The sequence below is a fragment of the Homo sapiens genome, chromosome 20, assembly GCF_000001405.40.
Source record: "Homo sapiens chromosome 20, GRCh38.p14 Primary Assembly".
NCBI lineage: Eukaryota > Metazoa > Chordata > Mammalia > Primates > Hominidae > Homo > Homo sapiens.
Window position 1 is genome coordinate 19,243,077 of NC_000020.11, and position 21,716 is coordinate 19,264,792.

General features: G+C 43.5%; 1 protein-coding gene and 1 long non-coding RNA gene across 2 annotated transcripts in view, besides 2 other annotated features; one reads left to right on the top strand and one right to left on the bottom strand.

The window, feature by feature from the left end:
- Nucleotides 1-21,716, top strand: part of SLC24A3 (solute carrier family 24 member 3) — a 510,285-nt gene that overhangs the window by 30,435 nt on the left and 458,134 nt on the right. The window lies entirely within an intron of this gene.
- SLC24A3-AS1 (SLC24A3 antisense RNA 1) overlaps nucleotides 1-21,716 on the bottom strand; it is a 42,295-nt gene that overhangs the window by 775 nt on the left and 19,804 nt on the right. Inside the window, exons 4-7 of the long non-coding RNA NR_024564.1 lie at nucleotides 21,002-21,077; nucleotides 18,633-18,797; nucleotides 14,553-14,619; nucleotides 801-1,212 (exon numbers count right to left, since the gene is read on the bottom strand). This is a non-coding gene — a long non-coding RNA (SLC24A3 antisense RNA 1). The remainder of the gene's footprint in view (nucleotides 1-800; nucleotides 1,213-14,552; nucleotides 14,620-18,632; nucleotides 18,798-21,001; nucleotides 21,078-21,716) is intronic.
- Nucleotides 16,136-16,225: an enhancer, noted in NCBI's record as "active region_17596". NCBI's record gives its function as "activates an Ori minimal core promoter by ATAC-STARR-seq in GM12878 lymphoblastoid cells {active_cell/tissue: GM12878}" and the evidence as "EXISTENCE:reporter gene assay evidence [ECO:0000049][PMID:35858748]".
- Nucleotides 17,895-17,944: an enhancer, noted in NCBI's record as "active region_17597". NCBI's record gives its function as "activates an Ori minimal core promoter by ATAC-STARR-seq in GM12878 lymphoblastoid cells {active_cell/tissue: GM12878}" and the evidence as "EXISTENCE:reporter gene assay evidence [ECO:0000049][PMID:35858748]".

Genomic DNA, 21,716 nt, shown 5'->3' on the forward strand with positions numbered 1-21,716 from the left:
GTTTTATGTCTGTTTTTATGATATTAAATTTTAGATAGGGCTTTTACTCTCCAAATAACTCTAAGAGTTAATGAAATTATCCCAGGTGATTTCCTGAGACATATGTTAATGAGTAGAAAGTATGATTTATAAGATTGATGTATATTATTTGTAAGATACTGGGGATATGAATAACATTGGAATAATGAGTCTGTGACCAGAATAAAATAGCTCAAACAACACAGAAGTTTCCAAAGCACAACTGTTACGGGGTGGGCTACAGGAGGTGAGGGAATAAGACACATTCAGAAACATCTAGATAATTCCAGAACATAACTTCCCCAAAATAACTGCGAATTTCTTCATGCGTTATTTTTGAATCTCTGAGAACTTCTAGAGTGATTTAATGGAAGTTAACATTTTTCCTAGTTCAGAAGGACCCCACAGGGTAGATGCCTCTATCTTGTCTGTCTTTCTAAAGTTTATCCTGAGAAGATGTACAGGAGAACATGGGTAGGTAATTCATGGCAGAATTGAACTTGCAAAGCTTCTTCTGGTGTAATGTGGAAATAGTTCTTCTTGACCTTTCTGCAGTCTTTGACATTGTGGACTCAGCTCTCCTGTTGGAAACCTATCCCTCATTTCCTTAACCCTCTTACAGTCCCTGTTTCTCATCTGCTAGGGCTGCTTCCTGTGTCTTTCTCTGGCCCCTTCTTCTTTCCTCCCCTTGGTTCTGAGGACGCAGCCCCAGGCACCACGCTCCTCTCTCCCCAGAGCCTTCCCCAAGAACTGAATCCCCATGTGGAAAATCAGCCACCCACCTTGATTCAGATGACTATGATCTTCATTCATCTCCTGAGCATGATTCCAGTATTCCCCACGACCACTGGAGGTTTCCACCTGAATGTTCTTACACTCGTTACTCAGAGTGGCTGAAATGTAGATAATCAAATATCTTCCAGTGAAATATAGCTCCCTTTTAAACGTATTCTGTCATCCAATTGTTTGACAATTACCAAGCATTGTCAATTCTTTTTTCTCAATCTCTCTCCTATCTGACCTTTCCTCTCATTCCATTGTCAAGCCATAATCCAGGCCTTTATCCCTTCATCAAGGGGTCATCCTAATAGCTTCTGCATTCATCTTAATTCAATGAGCATTCCTTTAGTGCCTTATGAGTAGATACCGTGAACCAGGTGCTGACGTGCCTGGTAGGGCTACAATGCCGAGAGGCTGCTGGGAAGACAGACATCCGTTAGATACTCACACTGTTAAGCAACTAATCATAAACTGCAGTAAGTACTAGAAAGAAGGTGTGGTGAGAACATGCAGTGGGGAGCTGGACATTAGCCTCTAGGGCCAGACACGGCATCTGAGGAATGAAGAGACATGACATACATCAAGGCGAGGTGGAGGGGAGAATTTACCAGGCAAAGTCCCAGCGCTGGGCAAGTCTATGGGGTGGTTGGAGGCATGGCATGTCAGAGAGACTGAGCATGAAAGGCCTGTTGCTAGAGCGAGGTGAGGTGGGAGAAGGCAGCGGCAGGCCGGCAATGTGAAGTTGAAATAGGAATTCAGGTGTCTATCCTCAGGGCAGAGGCGAGTCTTTGAAGGGCTTAAGCAGGAAGGGAATGACAGGATCAGGTAAGCCTTTTCTAAAGGTCATTGTGACTGCTTTGTGATGTCCAATAGACAAGATAACCTGAAAATCCTCCTGATCCAAAACAACAGGAAATGCTGGATAATATCACAGCAGAGCTGAACTTAGAAGCAGGTGAGAGATATCCTTGGAGCTGTAAATAAAGAGGAAGCTGAATACCCAAGGAGCATGTTGTCACTCACTACTGCATCTCTCCTGGTGGCATTTGCCCATCTCAGTAAACAAGAAATGTCCGTTTTAATGACTGCACAAGGACAGAAGACAAGGCTGGGGGTGAAAGTGGGTTGGGGAATTGGATCTGTGACCCTGCCATGAAAGAGGAGCCTTTTGATTAATAAACAGGGGACTGTATGGTAAATCCGCTTCTCACAAAATAAAATGCTAGAAAGTTTGTCTCTTTTGATCTGGGCTCTAGGTGGGGCTGGGGGAGTCTTCTTAAAAAATATCTTATCGTGGACCTGCCCCAAGTGGGTTTGGAGTTCTTTACACTACTTTCATGGTCCTGGAAACCTCATGCCAAGAAATTAACATATTATAGTAATGGAGTTCACACTGGTCATCAGTGCAGGATTCCTAGAAGAAGAATGGAAATTTTCTCTGAAATTCTCAGTAGAAATGAACTCTAAATAACTTCAAATAATAATATTCATGAATATTTATATAAAAAGATATTTTAAATATTTCAGACTGTATAAATCAATGACTACATAAGTGTGATCAATTTGAGTTGGCGGTCAGAATTATGACATTTTAAGTCCCTGTATTTTTGAAGAAGACAGTCAATATAGAGTGAAATTTAATTTTATTAAATGAAACGTTTGTGTTAAAATTTATGGAGAATTACTAAGATAATACATTCACAACACAAAGGCACAAATGGTTGAAAATAAAAGAATGGAAAAATATGTAGTAGGCAAACACTAACCAAAAGACACCATTGGATTAGGTTGGATATTACTATCCAATAAAGTTGATTTAAGAGCAAAACATTATTATTTGAGACGATTTTAATGCTAATGGTAATTTTAATGGTAAATGGTACAGTTTACTGGGAAGATAAAACAATTTAAAACTTCTAAACATTTAATAACATAGTCTCAACATGTCAAAAAAAAACTTCACCAGAAACTGAAGATATAAGAAGAAACAACAAATTTTTTAAAATGACAAATTTATAATCAGATTGAGAGATTTTAATACAATTTTTTGGTAACTGAAAGATCAAATAATAAAGTCTTTAAGGTATAGAAGATTTGAACAATGGTTTGATTTGATGGACATATATAGAACTTTACTCTCAACAATATAGCATAATATTTTCCAAAATATCTAAGAATAAAACATGTGTAAGAATTCACTTTGTACGTGGCCATAACACAAGTCTCAAAAAATGTCATTGAATCAACATCACACCAGTTAAATTATTTGACTACAGAGAGACATATATAGCCTTATGTTGAATATTGTATATATTATCTTATGCTTTATTATATCACAGTAAAGGAAGACTAAAATTAAATATGCTAATTGTTCAGTGTGATAAGTTAGAAGAAAGAATAATAAACCTAAACAAATTAGAAGGAAGGAAATAATATATATGAGTAGAATCAATGAAATAGAAAACAGCTATTATCAGTGGAATGGTCAAAACTCAAGTTTTGTTCATTATGAAGAACAGTAAAATACACAGATTCTTTGACAAGCTTGATCCGCAAAAATGAATAATGTTAGACAAGAAAAGGAGGATATAGGTACAGCTATAGCAGAGATTATTAAAAAGATAAAGTGACTCTTACCGACATATTAGGCAACTCAGATGAGATTGACATTTTTTCTAGAAAAGTATAACAACATTGACTGAACAAGAAATCGAAAATGTGAAGAGATGTATAACACTAAAAATTTTGATCAGTAGTTCAAAATATGTTTATTTAAATCTATGATGTAATTTATCTCATGAACAGATAAAAAAGAACAGGATTATTTCAATAGGTGCAGAAAAACATTTTTAAAATTTGAGCCTATTCTTTGTCTCTCTCTCCCTCTATCTCTGTCTTCTATCTCTATCCCTTTCTCTATCTCTATCTCTATCTCCATCTCTGTCTGTCTCTATCTCTATCTGTCTCTATCTTGTTGTCTGCAAAGCAGGGCTAGTAGGGAGTAAAGAGTATTTATCAAAACCTGAAAGTAAATATAATTATCAATTAAGAAATAATAAAAGCATTTCCTTTAAAATCAGGAACAGGCAAGAGTGATCATTGTCATCCCTTTTAATCAATATTTTATTTGTGGTTATAATCAGCGTAATAAGTCATAAAAGGAAAGTAAAAGCATTTCAACATAAGAAGTACATTTGTTTATAAATACGTTTTTTAAATAAAAAAGAATATAAATTCGATGATTAGAGTTAGAAACAAAATCAGTTCCATATGTACACGTCAGTCATGAATAGAAAAGTACATAGCGTTTAGAAAGCAGGGCCAATGACTCCAGTAGGCTCTCTGATGGCTCAGTGAGGCATTGCCTGGTGAGTGAGCCTTCCATTTTAGGTACAGAAAGAATTCTGTGTGCAAATTATGCCCACTCTCCTACCTACCCTCGCGAAAGTTACTTGTAACCCCAGTTACTTTGCATAATATTTTTTTGACTAAAAGAAAATTATGAAGAAAAAAATTTTAAATCCTATTTCTGAAATGTCTTCCACTCTTTTTAGTGATCTATGACTTTCTCAGAAAACTCTTTTGGAGGAAAGGGTGTAATCCTGAGGTAGTAATGTTGTGGATAAAAATATGAGGCTCATAGCCACTGAAATGCTCATTTCTAGAGGCAGCAGACAGTTCCCAATTCTCTCTGGTTTGGTAGCCAACAATCCCGCGTAGATGATGGAGCAACTTGAAATGTGGAATTGACATGTGCCTTAGGTATAAATGCTCATCAGATTTTGAAGACTTCGTACAAAAGAATGTGACTATTTCCTTATTAATTGTATATTGAGAACATGCTGCATTGATAATATTTTTGATATATTGGGTTAATTAAAAGTTACTACACTTAATTTCTTTTAGAAAACTTCTAAAATGTGAACACTAGAAAATTTAAAGTTACATATGTGATTTGCTTTTTAGATGTTTTATATCTACTTGATGACACTGTTGTAGGTCCTCCAATTCCTAATTGTGTGGTTTGGGGTTAGTGCTTAATTTTCTCTCAGCCTCAGTTTCCTCCTTTGTAAATAAGTGAGATAAGTGTGTCCTCTACCTTAGATGATTGAGAGTATTCCATGGAGAAACCCATCCTTTAAAAGACAACTTGCTAAATGGTAAAGCTTTATAAAACCTACATAGGTTTGTTGTTTCTTATTTTTCAGTCCATTTTTGTTCCAGAGCATGACATAGTCCCAAAAATAGAAAAAAACAAAACAAAACAAAACAAGGTGGAGGGCTTGGAGAAAATCTACCATGTTTCTGCCACGTTGCCTCCTTGTGGGAGCCAGATGTCAGAACCAACCTCTAGGCAAGGTTTTGCCATTTCTCTTCTACTTTCAAAGAGAATTCTGTGTGCCCCGCATCCCGTTCATCATGCTGCAGTAGTACAGAATTGTAAACATTACCATGTAAGCTGAAAATGTGCAATATCATCTAAATAATTAATAAAAAAATGACGATGGTTTTGTAAACTTTAACATTTTTTCTCAAATCTTTAAAAACTCTCTTAGTATTGGTTATAAAGCATAGTAAAGTGGAAAATAGTGAAACTAATATTCAGTCAGTACATTTAACAGAACATTTGAAATATTGACGTGGAGAAAAGGGAACCCTAGTACCCTTTTGGCGGAAATGTAAATGAATACAGCCATTATGGAAAACAGTATGAAGGTTCCTCAAAAAACTAAAATTAGAGTTACTATATGATCCAGCAGCTCCACTTCTGGGTATACATCCAAAGACTTTGAAATTGGTATGTTGAAGGGATATGCACATTCCCATGCCTGTTGCAGCACTATTCATGATAGCCAAGATACGGCAGCAACCAAAGCGTCCATCGACAGATGAATGGCTAAAGAGAAGGTGGTGTATATATACAATGGAGTACTGTTCAGACTTGAAAGATGATGTCAGTTGTGACAACATGGATGAACCTAGAGGATATTGTGCTAAGTGAAATTAGCCAGGCACAGAAAGACAAATACCGCATGATCTCGTATGTGGAATCTAAAATAACCAGACACATAGAAGCAGGGAACAGAATAATGGTTTCCAGAGGCTGGGGAGTGGAAGGAATGGGCAGATGTTGGTCCAAGGATATGAAGCTTCAGTTGGACAGGAGGATAAATGATAAGTATTTGAGATAACGAATATGTGAATTAGCTTGATCCAGTCATTCCACATTGTATATGTAGATCAAGCATCACTTTGTATCTCACAAATAGATCCAATTTCAATTTGTCAATGTGCAGTTGAAAAGCCATTATAATTTTGAGAACCAAAGTGTTTTATTTCTTTGTAAAACAAACTTACCAAGAGTAGTTTGAACAGTGCTTATGATGTGGAGTGAGTATCTTTCCTAAGCCCTGGCAAGCTTCCGTACTCCTAAGTTTGGCTCAGCTTCCAACATCTTATCTTTTGTGCTCTCAGTGTCATGAAATATCTTCAAGCATTTCTTTAAGACATCATCCTTTTCCTCAAGACCACTTTCTTCATTTGTGTTGTTTGTCTTCACTAATTCCTGTGTCTCCAAATCTAGAGTGTCTGTACCTCAGGAGTGTCAACATCCCCACGGTCAGCTGCTTCTTCTCTAGCTCCATTTATATTCCATTCACATTTCATTTCCAGTGTGAACATATTTCATTTCTTTGCTTCACTTTCATTTCATCTTGTTGGCCAGTTGTTTCTTTTGGTCATCTGTCTTGTGAAATGGGTTTATCGCTGGGAGACAGGAAGGCAACACAACTTCACAATTTGCTGTCTATTGGTGGACTGAGTAACTGATGCACAGTGACCCCTGGTGACTCACTTTGAAAAAAAATCAGCATGTTAGTCATGGATCATGGTGCACATGTTAATTGCATGATGATTTGCGGACTGAAGCATTAGGGGCGAAATTTACACTTTTAGCAATTACAGTTAATATACCGTGCTAACTGAAACTTGTACAGTGTTACTGGGGCACTAAATTAATGCCTACAGAACTATGCCAAGTGAAGACTGCCTATGCTCAGCATTTTCAGACAGTTGTTCTTTGGAGGAGTCTTTGTCTCTTGTCTTTTGACTGATCTGAAAGGCCATCTTTCCTATTTGCAGTCCTCACATGCTGTCTTCTGAGCATTCCAAGTGTACAGAGGAGATGTGCAGGGGTCAGCAGTCATTCAGCCATTCAACAGCCATGTGTGCAGTGTCCACGCTGTGCTGAGCTCAGCACTGGGTGCTGGCATATTTGCTGGCAATTTCCAGTGCCTTAAATTGCTGTCATTTTTGGCTTTTGGCAGCTAACTTTCCGACATATTTTCCAAACCACTGCTTATACAATTTGCACAAGGTTTTAAAGTTACCTCTCACTTGCACAAATTTCCACTATCTTGATTGCTGGGATACACATACTGTCAGGAGCATCAGGTTCCTCCGGTTGGGATACAGTCCCCATCTTGGCATGCCAAATGGGGCAGTCCCTTTTTAAACAGAACAATCAGCTAATGGACACAGTCTAAACTTGCATAGTTGCTGGTTAATTATTCAAAGCATGTTTCATTAAAGCCAGTCCCATTTCTCAGCATCTTCTTTCTTCAGTGTTTTTAATTGACCTGAGAATTACCATACTCTGAAGGGTGTGCCAAAGAATCAGATGTCTTTGCCTGGAGCATTAAATTCCACTGAAAAACTACTTCAACCAGAAGAGAGGTGTGGCTAGAGAGAGAGGTTCATAGTTTTAGAGCTTTTTAAAAATTTTTTAATCCTTTTGAGATTCTTTGCCATTAAATATATTAAGTAGTTTTGGAAAATAATGTGTTTGCTTAAGAAATCCAAAACACTTTTTATAAGGGAGCTCCCTGGCTCCCAGTGGTGAAGGGAACCAAACGTTTATGGATCTGGGAGTGTGCCAGGGACTTTCACATATCATCATCCACAATCCTCATAATGGCCTTATAGGATGGAAATTGTTATCTTCATTTTCACAGTTGAGGAAACTGAGGCCTAGACAAGTAAATTAAGATGCCCAAGATCTTACTTCTGTTTGATGTTAGAGCTGAATTTTGACGTTTTAGTTTGTCCCATTCCAAAATCATTATACTTTTCCATATATAAATGATTGCAAATGTCTGACATGCCAGCCACCACTCTTCCATTCTGGTACCATTACAGACATCACTAATTGATAACCTATGTATTCAACCTGACTTTTGTCATGCAGCTGCCCATGAACGCTGCTCAGAATGGAAAACCCAGCTCACCCTCTAAATGGAAGATAATGTAAGCAAAGAGATTTTAGGGTAGCACTGATACAAGCTTTTAGGCCAGTGTAGCCACTCACTGATGTTGGGTTGGAGGTGCCCCTCCCTCATACTGGCATTTTCTTATGCCCTCTATTTCTACATTAGGGATAGTAAGAGAGCACTGAAGCATTCCCTGTGGAAGAAGCCACAGACAGGGAAGAAAAGTAAGAACTTATTAATTTAAATTCTGTCTGTTTCGCCAGTGTCTTGGTTTGGGTTCCTCTAGAAGCACACACTCAGACAAGGACTTGGGTGCAAGGAGGTGACCTAAGAAGCACAAGAGAGAGAATGAGGTAATGAAACAGAGTGAGGGGAAAGGCAGATAAAGGTGCATTCTTAAGCAGAACACTGCAGGGGACAACGAGGGCCCAGCTCTAGCCGGGGTCTCAGAGAGTCTGTGGAACAGGCTTCAGAATTGTCCCACGAGAGAGGCAAGGAAGCCAGGGTATTGATCCACCTAATTCAGTCCTCTGCAGGTTGAGGGTTGCTCACATCCCTCCACTCTCCTAGAATTAAATCTTATCTGCCTCTCAGTTTGTCTGTGCTGGTCCTGCAGAAAGCCCTCCAGGAGGAGCTGGGAGACTCCAGCCCTGGAGTTGAGGAGCAGTCATCAGGACACTGCACCAGGGCAGCCGGGGTCCCCAAGGGGGCATGAAGGGGGCCCCTCCAGTATCTGTGTGCTCTCTAGCTGGCTCTGTTGGGTAACTTTCTCTGATGGTGATCAGAGTTAAGTTGATCCCACTGTCCTAACTTTAGAAAATCACTGAGATTCTGTATATCCTGAACGCCACCTAATGGGATGTATAGACCACAGATGGCCTTTCTTTGTGGCCAGGCTACATTCTCAGTGGTTGCAGCCCAGCAGCATGGATTTGAAATTTATGGTGGTGGTTGATTCCACCAAAGACAACACAGAGTGTTGTGTGTAGCTCTTAGTAAATTCCTTGTTATCTTTTACAACCATCTCGGGCAAATATTGTTCCTCTTGACAGAGTGGGCCATGTTAGCCAGAGCAAATGTTACCCCAGACAACCGTGAATTGAAGATGAAAGAGGAGTTGCAGCCAGAATAACTAGCTTGGAAATGGAGCCAGTCTTTCAACAGCAGAAGGGGCAGATAGGAGGCAGGGTGAACTCAGACAACCTTTGTGCTGAAGAGACCCTTTGCTGTGTGAGGGTCTAAGCAGTTGCTGGTAGCAAAATTTTTGCCACCAAGGCTTGGAGTAAGAAGAAAAATCATGGTGGTGACGGAGTAGCAATATACTTGTGGTCATAGGCACTAATTAACCCAGACAGCTGATTTTAATCATTGCTGTCATCTGTTGCAATCAGCTAGCTGACAGAGGGGTTGTTTCATCTTTTCCAATAAGTGAATATTCAAAGCTGTTCTCTTTTCTCTCTCTTTCAGCTTAAAAAAACAAAAAGCCTGAAATTGGAATGGCGGGGGGGGGTGCCTGTTCCAGAAACTCCTTGCAATTGCCCTTCAGTCATCTTAGTACATTCATTTGTATGTGACTTTGTCTCACTGGATTGTGTAAACTAGGCAGGGAATAACTCCGCAGATCTTACTCAACAACTCCCATGATATAAACTTCTTGGGATCCTCCAGTGAAGCCTCCAGTATGGGGGAGGGGTCAGCATGTTTAGAATGAATGTGTCACTAGCTCTGTGCTAAATTCTAAAGAGACACATAGAAGAGGTGGTGCTTGATTTCACAATCTCATGGTACAGCTTTGGGTGCATTTAGATTTATATAATTATGCAATGGGTGCTTCGCCTGTTGGAGTGAAGCAAGGTCATGTGGCAACTTGTGGAGCAATTCTTGGACACTTGGGCTTCCCACGGGGTTAGGCAATCCTGCTGCTCCTAAGTGCCCCCAGGCAACAGACGGGATGGTATCATTTATAGAAGGCATCCAGCTTTGGGCCGGTGGTCTCATCTGCCATTTCCTATAGGAGTAGGTAGAGGAGGGGACAGACCTAAAGACTCACATTCTCTAGGGGTTTGTTGGGATGTCCCAGGGCCCTGGCACATCCTGGAAATTTCAACCAGGGAGTGCAAATGACCTGCCACGCTTGGTTGCAGGAATCTGTCATTTTCAGGGCATTTTCGCTTCAAGAGAGGCATGAAATTGTTTTAGACTCTGGGGTCTGATGAAGGTGTGCGCAGCACAGGCTCATGTTGCCCTTGCCAAGCGTTACCCCTGTTCCCCTCAGGGCCTGAGATCTTCTGAGCAGTCAAATTGGAATCCTCTAGACTTCCCCAACCCTTTCCATGTTGTATTTGCTTCTGGCATTTGCTTCTCGGATTGTTTCCTGGTTGTTAATTTTGAGTCATCAGCATCTTTGCCTGTAGTATCCGCATCTGTACACCCTCCGTGGCCTTCTGAGGTCTTGGCATGGGGTTGACCAGTGAGGGGCTGTGTGAAGTCACCCCACTGTTACCCCCATCCTCACAGGTTTCCCATAGGCTCTTCTAATGTTGCATGAGAACCTATTGTGGGCCTAACCCAGTCTGGCAGGAAAAGGAGAGAAGGAAAGTGCATGGAATGGTCCTGTCCTTAAAGAGCTTCTGGAGGAGATGGAGAAAGGAGGCATTCACATGTGAGATGAAAACAGCAAAGCAAGACCTGACAAGCTTGATAGGCCTGATGAGCCAGGCCACACCGTCCTCTTCCATGGTCCAGTCTAGTGTGCATGTTCCATGTCTAAATCAGAGGACCCAGTGGGAGACAGTAGGGTGTAGTGGAGGCTGTGGTGAGCACAAAGGAGGTTTTCCTGTCCAACATGAGGTAGACGTTCCCCTCAGGGCTTACATGGCATGAACTCTGGCCCATGTTGCCAGGTCTTCTGGTTTTTAAGAGAAACTGGAAATCTGGCTCTTTATATGAAATTGGGGATTTTTTATGACATTGTATGAGGAAATAATCACGCCTGTGCCCATATTCATCCTGACTGTAGCCTCTGGGCTGTGCCATCCTAGTGTGCTCCCACAGAGTGACATTGCCCAGGCGGCCATCTACTCCCGACCCCAGAGTCTGGCTTCATTTGTGAGGTCACCTCACATGGTCCAGGGGTTCCCTCACAAGTCACAGGCTCCACTGAATGTTCAGTGAGTAGAGGCTGGGGAGAAGAGCTCATCTGTGGGGACGCGGCCTCCCCACGCTCACTACATTGCTTGCCACCTCAAGGGAAGATTTCTGAGGCTGCATTTCAGGCACAGATTTCTGAGGCTGCACTCAGGTTGGGTAGGCACGTTTTGGGGACAAAAGCAGTGAGTCCAAGTGTTGTAGAGTCTGTCATTCCTCAGCAACAAACTCAGCAGCTTTCCTTCCAGTTTAATAAATCCAGACCCTTGTGGCTTATATAACACGCGTGATGACAAGTAATGATAACTCACGAAGAAAAGGAAGAAAACTTTTTTTGTCTTTCTGACTCATGCCTCTAGTGTGGGAAATCTGGTCAGGGTGGCCACACATGTTCCCTGGAGCTAGAAGGCGAGATTCCAGAGGACACACAGCATGGGCTGGGAGGTCTTTTGCTTCCACCGAGGAAGATGAGATTTCACAGGGAAGGGTTTCCTGGAGTTCCAGGTTTCTCCAGGGCAGCATGGTGGTCAGGAACCTGCATCCTAGAGCCAGATTGCCTGGGTTCAAATGCTGGCTGCACCACTTACTAGCTCTGTGACCTTGAGAAAGTTACGTAAACTCTCTGTGCCATACTTCTTTCATCTTTAAATGCAGGTAATGAGAATACCTCTCACACAGCATTGTTAGGACTAAAGCTGCTTCCAGTACTGTATACAAAAGGAAGCATGCATCTGCCTTGCCCTTTCCCAGAAGTAGTAAATGTTTTTGATTCACTGGGTGGGGATCCATGTGGCAATATTATTTATAAGGGATAGAAGTTCACTGACTGTCATTACCCAACAGACCTCATCTACCCAGGCGTGTTTGTACCTCATCTCCAGGGCTACCCTGCAAAGCAGGAGATGTATGTATTGTTCCTCTGCCAAGAGTCCCCAGGGGAGTTGAGTGGCTTATCACGGTGACCCATCAGTTTAACTCTTGCTGCCTGTCAGTGGTGGCTGCTGTTGAGAATTCCCTCCGCTATAGGATGGAGAGGTGCTCTCTTTAGGATGATCGTGGCTGGGCTGTCCCAATCCTTGTCCCACTGGGCCTGTGCCCTGGTTGAAAACCAAAGATGATTAAGATTTGGAGTGTCGTTGAGAGAGAAGTGTGGACTTCCATGGATGTCTGTTTAGCCAGATGGATTTCCATCTTTGTCCTCTCCAGGTGGCCCAAAGCATGGGTGAAGAGGAAGCATGGTGCCACTGGATGGTCCCAGGAATGCTTGGGTTCAAGCTCAGATGGAGCCATTAACTGGCACGTGGCCTTGGGGCAAGTCATTGTCCTTCCAATGCCATACTTAGTTTCTTAAAAAGAGGTGGACTAGATCTGTGCTGTCCAATACGGGAGCCATGAGCCACACATGGCAACCGAGCACTTGCAATGTCGCTTGCTAGATGAGATGTGCTGTGAGTATAAAATGCACAGTGGCTTTTAAGGGCTTAGTACAAAAAAGAATGAAAAATACCCCAGTAACTTTTTATCGGTCAAGTGCAGTGGTTCATGCCTATAATCCTAGCACTTTAAGAGGCCAAGGAGGGAGGATTACTTGAGGCCAGAAGTTTGAGACATCCTGGGCAACATAGTGAGACCCCATCTCTACAAAAAATAAAAATAAGAATTAGCTGGGTATGGTGGCACGTGCCTGTAGTCTTACCTACTTGGGAGGCTGAGGCTGGAGGATTGCTTGAGCCCAGCAGTTCCAGGCTGCAGTGACCTATGATGGTGGTACTGCACTCCAGCCTGCGTGATCGAACGAGACCCTGTCTCTAATAATAATAATAATAATAATAATAGTAATTTTTTATCTACACAGTAGCAATGAAAAGGAATGGAGCACTGATGCATGCTGCAACATGGATGAATCTTGAAAACATTATGATGAATTCATAAGCAATTCAGCAAAGCCCACATACTGTACAATTCCATTCATATGATGTGTTCAGAACAGGCAGCTCCATAGAGACAGAAAGCAGTTTCATGGTTGCCTGGGGCTGGTCAAGAGGGTAACAGGGAGTGGCTGCTAATGGATGCAAAGTGTCTTTTTGGGGTGATGAAAATATTCTAAAATTAGATGATGGTGATGGTTACACAACTCTGTAAATATATGAAAAACCATTTAATTGTACACGTTACATGGGTGAATTTTTATGGTACTGGCTGGGTGCAGTGGCTCACGCTTGTAATTCCGGCACTTTGGGAGGCCGAGGTGGGCAGATCACTTGAGGCCAGGAGTTTAACACCAGCCTGGGCAACATGGTGAAACCCCATCTTTACAAAAAATACAAAAATTAGCCGGGCATGGTGGCATACGCTTGTAGTCCCAGCTACTTAGGCGGCTGAGGCATGAGAATCACTTGAACCCAGGAAGTAGAGGTTGCAGTGAGCTGAGATCATGCCACTGCACTCCAGCCTGGGTAACAGAGCAAGACGTTGTCTCAAAAAAAAAAAAAAAAAAAAGAGAATTTTATGATACTTAAGCTATGTATTGATAAAGCTGATAAAATAGTTTTTATAATTATTACATGTTGAAATGTTAATATTTTGGATATATCAGGTTAGGTAGAATATATTATTGAAATTAATGTCACCTGTTTGGTTTTACTTTTTAATATGTCTGCTAGAAAATCTGGAATTCATGGCTCGCATTAGATTTCTGTTGGACTGCTGCACCGAACCCTCTCTAAGGACCTTCCTAGTTCCAAAATTATATTCTTCCACAAAACGATCCCTAGGTTTGGACTTCTGATGACTCATCTGGTATCATGGCTATGACCCAACTTGAAAAAAGTTCATTTGGGTCTTTTTGAAAACCATTTGCAAAAATAGGTTTTTAAAGAGAAATCCTGAAAGGAGGCACAGAGTCACATAAGGCGAGCCCAGGAGCTGGGACCATCACTTTCTCCTGCCTCCGTAAGCAGCCTGGAGCCATCTACAGCTGTGGATGGGGCTGTTTCAAAAAATCTATAGTCTAAGCCTGAACAGCGGTTTCCTTAATCGATCCTCCTCTCAGACGGTTGACTCCGCTGAGACTGGCCCTGCTGGGCATCAGGCCCAGGAGAATGGGCAGTAAATTCCCAGCTGGCGTCAGCCAAGAACAGGTGCTTGGGTTTCTCATATCTTTATGGTCTGGGGGGAGACCAGGGAGGTGCCTTTGAATCCCCAAAAGGCTCAATGTCAAAACACAAATCTCGGCCTCCAGTTGTACCTCCAAGGAGGGCTCAGGATGATGTTGGGAAGCATCTTTTTACCTTAGTTCTCCTGCAGGAATTAATTAAGAATGCCTGTTATGTTTCCTACCTTTTTCTGGGTGCTGGAGGGAAATTCAGAAGTCTCACTTATATCTCTTTTCAGAGCAGCTTGACTCCTGCAAGAACCAGAGTGTGTTCATGTCCATAAAAACCAAATCCAACCAAACACCCTCCAAACTCCTGGATATGGTGTGTATTTCCATTGGGAGCTTGAGTCTTTCCTGTTTACTCCTTCTACTGCTTCTTTTGATTTTTATATTTTTAGAGATAGGGTTTCCCTCTGTTGTCCAGGCTAAAATGCAGTGGGGAGATCATAGCTCACAGCAGTCTCAAACTCCTGCACGTAAGCCGTCCTCTCATCTCAGTCTCCTGAGTAGCTGGAACTACAGGCACACGCATCACTGTGCCCAGCTCACCTGCTTCTTAAAGGCTGGTAAGAGTCTGAGCCCTGGGGCTGTGAGCCTTTATCAACCTCTGTTTTCTGCAGCACCTGCACTCAGGTAGTTTCCTGTTTGGAATGCCGTTCCTAAACTGGCTTACCTCCCTTTTCACCTGTTTTCATGTAAACAGCTGATAGAAGCACCGCCATCCTGGGGAGGCCCAGCTGCAAGCTCCTGGAGGCGGGCACCTTTGCTGCCTCTGCCCTCACAGCTCTTCTTCCCACCCCATGAGCTCTTCTTCCCCATTCCAGGCTTTGGGCAAAGGCAAGGGGAAGAGAGCTTTTGGTAAAAGCCACTCTGAACATTTTTCCAGAAAACTGGGCAAAAGCAAACTTCTTTGGGTACTGGGCATCTTTTTAGATGATAATTAGAAATACAGAGGAATAGTAATAAACTATAATGATGGTGGGGTGCCGTGGCTCACGCCTGTAATCCTAGCACTTTGGGAGGCTGAGGTGGGCGGATCACGAGGTCAGCAGTTCGAGACCAGCCTCACCAATATGGTGAAACCCTGTCTCTAATAAAAATACAAAATTAGCTGGTTGTGGTGCACGTGCCCATAATCCCGGCTACTCGGGAGGCTGAGGCGGAAGAATCACTTGAATCCAGGAGGCGGAAGTTGCAGTGAGCTGAGATCGCGCCACTGCACTCCAGCCTGGGTGACAGAGTGAGACTCTGTCTCCAAATAAAAGAAAGAAACTATAATGATGAGGCAGATATAAAAGTGAACATTTTCCTGTGGCTTTTCCACCAAGCACTGGCTTTTCAGAGAACTCCAGAGAACAAGCAGCAGACAGGCAGCTTGTGCAGGGTCGATCAAGCACAAGATAAGGCCAGTGTCTTCAGGAATCAGAGTGGTTTGTGAGACACTTAAGCAAATTGCATTCAGGCCCTATCTCCTTCTGGCAATAATTCACCAGAGAAATGAGCCATTTCACTAGAAGATTTCCATTTTAATATTAGCACAGGGACAAGCCTTGTTTCACAATTAAATTAGAGCCAGGTAAGTTTTCTAGTAATAGTGATATCTCGAGGAAGGATTGAAAATAGAGCTGCTCAGAGATAATTTGCTTCTGAGCCAAGTTATTTCATGGATCTCCCAGGAGGACATCTTGCTGGTATGGCTTTGCTACTGAGGGGAAGCCCTCCAAGCCCCTCTGATGAAAAGATAAGTCACACTGCAGGTCTAAGAGGAAATGAAACGAGTGTGCAGCTTGAGAGACAGCGAGGTGCTGGGACACTCTGACTCCACCGTACAGATGTCTCAGGAGCAAAGGACCCAGCATGCAGGAGCTTTCCTTCTGGAATGGGCTGCTTCCGTCCGCCTGACACCTCTAGGATGTTGTCTTGTCAACAGTAGATGTTTGTCATATGCTTGGCCATGTGTTGGCACCATGTCACTCTGCTGGTGACAGTTCAGGACCAGAGGCCTTTAATCATAGTAGAAACAGTCTCAGAAGTGGAGCACTGCTGAGTGGCAGCGACACCTGAAGATTGGCGACCAGGCAAGGTGATGTGACCACAGTGGCCACATGGCAGCCAGTCATGGCCACCCCTGGAGGGGTTCATGGAACACATCGAGCTTGACCGCAGCCCTTGCTGTTGCATTGATCTTTCTTCTTATCACCCTCAGATACTACAAGAGGGTGTTATCAATATTAATGTACCACTGAGATATTGGAAACATTGTTTCTCCCCCAACATTATATATGAAAATGTTCAACCATACAGAAACATCAAAACAATTAGACGGTGAACATTCAGATACCCACCACCAGGATTTCACCATTAACATTTCACTCTATTTATAGTTTTTTCCCCCTGTGCTATGGGAAAATCTCTTTTTAATGTTTCTATCATGTTTTCCTTTTAACAAAGTAGGTCTCTCCCTCCCATGTCTCAGATGGAAACATTGAGGGGAAGATCATGCCAAATACATAGCATGTTAGTGAAGCCAAAGAAAAAGAATCCGTATGCCCTGAGATTAAGGTAGCAAAATATTAAGGGAAGGTCTCTGGAGTGGGATCTGGAAGGTGGATACCAGGCCCAGCTCTGCTGCTGCACAGCCTGTGAACCTGAGGTGATCAACTTCATCATTGTTATTTTTTCTTTTTCTCTTTTTTCCCATTATATTCAAGATCACCTCTATTCTGCCAGGATGGTCCTAAGGCTGACATTGGGCTAATTGTTGCCTGCAGTCTAGTCCTATGCAGAGATAACAGGTAGCCTGCGACCTTTGGCAAGTTGCTGGACTCGATTCTGAGCTATTGATTTCTTCTTTTGGAAGTGAGGATAACAACACCCAGCTCTCAAAGCTGTTGTAAGGTTAAGTAAGGTGTTGAGATGCAAAAAGAAAGTACTCAAAACCATGCCCGGAATGAGGTCAGCATACTCAGCATGGCAAATATTATGACTCCTAGTACACATATTCCCTTGCCAGTGTCCAGCACATAATCTCCCTGAGGGTAAGGTAAGCACTGCTGAAGTTAGAGCTGTGTTGTATTTAGAAATAATAATAGTAGCAAGAGCAGCAGTTATTGTAAAGTAAAACTGAACTGAAAATGAAAGAACTCGAGATACAATTTCTCAGTTCACAACATGTGCATCCTCTGCATGAATTTGTGAAAAGAACTGCTGCACTTGTCTCTATAGAAGAGCGTGTTTGGTTTACTGCTTCCCAAAAAAGATTGAGGCTATGAGACTGCTGTCCTCCTCTGCCACCCTTTGCAGAAGGCCTGCGAGGCATCATTGCTGTAGGCATCATTCTCAGTATGAGATGTGGTTACTGGAGCTCTGCCTTCCCAAGTTAGGTAACCCCCTCCGGCATGGACCGACACGCTCCTCTTACTCAGTGACTTCCTGTTTATCATCTGGCGGTAGACAGCCTGTCATTGGAGAGGATGGGATCAGGTCGAGTCACAGATTCAATGTGTTTCTAATGGGAAACCGAATCAGGGTTGCCTTGGAAGCAGGACATGGCAATGAAGACTTTCTATAGCCCCTCAGAAGCCCCAGCCCCTCCTCATGAGGCTCAACCCTTGCTTCAAGCTGCCTTGCAAATCAGACACCACCTTTCACAGTGCCTTTTCTGGCTTCACTGAACCTCTCTGAGGCAAGGAATCCCCTTGGAAAGATGGGAATTTATTCCAGAGACTCCTCGTTCTGGTCTGTCCTCCCTCTCTACTGCAGTTTAGAGCTGAGAGGTGCTAGAGCTGACTGACAGGCTGTCCTGATGGAGACATGATGTGAGGTAATGGACAATGGACCCCCAAGAAGGGGGATGGGGACTTTGTGGTGAGCATTCATTGTCCCAGTTTTATATTTTACTTTACTTTTAGAGACAAGGTCTCACTCTCTTCCAGGCTGGAGTGCAGTGGTGTGGCATGATCACAGCTCACTGCAGCCTCGAACTCCTGGGCTCAAGTGGCTCCCACCTCAGCCTCATGAGTAGCTGGGACTACAGGTGTGCATCACCACATTCAGCTATTTTTTTTTAATGATTTTTTTTTTGTAAAGATGGTGTTTTGCTGTATTGCCCAGGCTGGTCTTGAACTCCTGGCCTCACGCGATCCTTCCACCTCAGCCTCCCAGAGTGCTGGAATTACAGACGTGAGGCATTGTGCCCAGCCTTACTGCCCTTCACAAAAATATCTGTGTCCAAGCTTGCTCATATATGGAACAGTCCACACCTGTGTAGCGCCAGCTTCCAGGAAGAAGTTTATGCATTCGTAAGGCCACGTAGGTCCGAAAGTTGCAGAGCAGTAACTTAAACCAAAGTCTGGTGTTTCTCATGACAATGCTTATATCTTCTTAACAAAAGGCTTAATCTGACATATAAGTCATGAGGCTTCACACTGTCAAAAATAGAAAACAATGCAAAATGCTTGATGTATTGGAGATTTATCAGCAGCTGTTTCTGCAGGGAGTGTGGGTGTCAAGGCAGGTAGGATCAATGGGACAGTGATGTCATCAAGGACCCAGTGTTGTTTTCTCCTTTCCCTCCCTTCCTTATGTTAGCATCATTCCCAAAGAAGCTTCCTCCATGGTGGCAAAATGGCTGCAGCAGTTGCAAGCATCGCCTCTATACACAGAAAGAGAGAGAGGCCGGGCGCGGTGGCTCACGCCTGTAATCCCAGCACTTTGGGAGGCCGAGGCGGGCGGATCACGAGGTCAGGAGATCGAGACCATCCTGGCTAACACAGTGAAACCCCGTCTCTACTAAAAAACACAAAAAAATTAGCCGGGCGTGGTGGCGGGCGCCTGTAGTCCCAGCTACGCGGGAGGCTGAGGCAGGAGAATGGCGTGAACCCGGGAGGCGGAGCTTGCAGTGAGCCGAGATCGCGCCACTGCACTCCAGCCTGGGCGACAGAGCGAGACTCCGTCTCAAAAAAAAAAAAAAAAAAAAAAGAAAGAGAGAGAAATAGGACATCAGTAGCTCTCTCTGATAAAGAGGGCTTTATTCTCAGAAGCCACCAGCAAACCTCCCCTACCATCTCATTGGCAGGAATGGGGCCACTTACCTCTCCCTGAACCAGTCCCTTTGGTCAAGGAGATGCCATATGCTGATTCCCCCAATTGTGCTACAATGATGATGGCCCATCCCTGGAACTAAGGTAAAGTCAGGCCACCCCTTCTCCCCTTTCTCCATAACTTTCTGCTGCTACTCAATGGGGACTGGTGGAAGGGATCTTGAGAAAAAGACAATGTGTGTGGTATCTATGATGGGGACATTTACTAATCCCACCCACTTTACACTAACTACTGCTCTTGCTCTTACGATTATTTCTGAATGTAATACAGCTCTAACTTCAGCAGTGTCTACCCTCTGTGAGATTGTGTGCTGGGCACTGACAAAGCTGCGTGTGTCCTTATAGTCACAATATTTGCCCCGAGCCATTTGCCCTTTCACCACCCACTCATCCTGCTGCCATGGAGTGACCGTATGGGATTCCAGAAGAGACAGACACGCCCCTTTGTTCCTAGAATCCCTCGCTCCATCACCCACTCCAGCCTTTGTGTGTGTGTGTGTGTGTGTGTGTGTGTGTGTGTGTGTTTTCTGTTGACCCCCCCACGTTTGTTCCTGTTTCTTTCACTTTTAGAAACAATGGAAAAGGATTTTCTTTCTGGCTTCCCATCAGATGACTTGCTGACCTTGGCTGGTAGTGGCTGCAATGAGCAGGGTAGCTCACAGCATTGAGAAGGGAACAGTCTCATGTGGCTTTGGAGAGAGAATGTGGGCTGGAGAGAAGGAAGCAGAAAGCCACGCAAAGAGCAAACTGTGAAGAATGAGACAGAAGCCCTCAGCTAGGGGCACACAGCCAAACCTACATGCTGAATATTGCTTGTTTTCAAGGGGGGACGTTATTGGAAGTCTGCACTTAGATACCAGTGCTCCTTGTCAGGAGTCTGAAAAATAAAAAAAGCCTGATTATTTAGGCAAATGCCTAATCAATTAGAAATATAGGGGTTCACTAGGGATGAGAGTGAGAGAGGCGTTGCTCTCTGGCTGAAATATGCAAAGCAAGCCTCCCCGTTTCTCAGGCGCAGGTGGTGGCCAGGAAAGTCCTGCTTGCATCAACCCCTCCTGGTCTGACTGAGCCACATCCTCTCTCCTTTCCCTGCCTTCCCTTACCTATCAGTGGATCTCAGACTCTGGGCTGAAACTGAGAGGGCATGGATCTATCTTTCTTTCCATTCAACCTTGCTATTCTCCTATTGCTGGTTTCAGTTCCAACTTGGAAAGTTGCAAGCAATGGGCCAAAGAATAGGAAAAAGTGAGAAGAATAAAGTGGCTTTGTGTTTAAACGAAAGCTTCACTGCCTATCCTCCCCTCAGTTCTGTCTTTCTCACTGTGAGGCATCAAGAGGATATTTTAGTTCTGGTGTCAAGTTCCAATGGTGAAAGGAGAAGAGAGAAACATTATCAGAAAATCTATGGGCCAGGGGCGGTGATGGCTCAGACTTGTAATCCCAGCGACTTGGGAGGTTAAGACAGGAGTTCGAGACTAGCCTGGGCAACATAGTGAAATCCCATCTCTAAAAAAAAAAAAAATGCTTACTGTGGTGGTGCACGTCTGTAGTTCTAGCTAGCTAATTTCCACCACTACACTCCAGCCTGAGTGACAAAGCAAGACCCTGTCAAAAAAAAAAAAAAAAAATTATCCACTTCTATGGCTCTGGACCAAACACATCTTCCCACTTGTTTTAAGAGACATTGTTTCCAAGATGAGGTCAAGGTTACCTTCAGGGCTGACATCACTTGGTGTCCCTCAAGACAGACCCTCGGCTCTCCTCTGGTGCCAGCCTCAGGTGCCATGGGCAGTTCAGTGTAAGCTCAGACTCTCATTGCAATACAGCATTGCCCCAAGCATACGCTATGTGTCTCTCTGCTTCCTGGCTCAGGGCCTTCCTGAGAGGTGGGAGCCAGCTTGACTCACTCAAAAGTGCAGTCTGCCCAGCACTTTGGGAGGCCGAGGCGGGTGGATTGCCTGAGCTCAGGAGTTCGCGACCAGCCTGGGCAACACGGTGAAAACCTGTCTCTACTAAAATAAAAAAAAAAAATTAGCTGGGCATGGTGGCATGCACCTGTAGTCCCAGCTACTCAGGAGGCTGAGGCAGGAGAATTGCTTGAACCTGGGAGGCAGAGGTTGCAGTGAGCCAAGATCACGCCACTGCACTCCAGCCTGGGCGACAGAGCGAGACTCCATCTCAAAAAAAAAAAAAAAAACAAAACAAAAACGTGCAGCCTGGACTCTGGGGAGTTTGTGCTCCTGG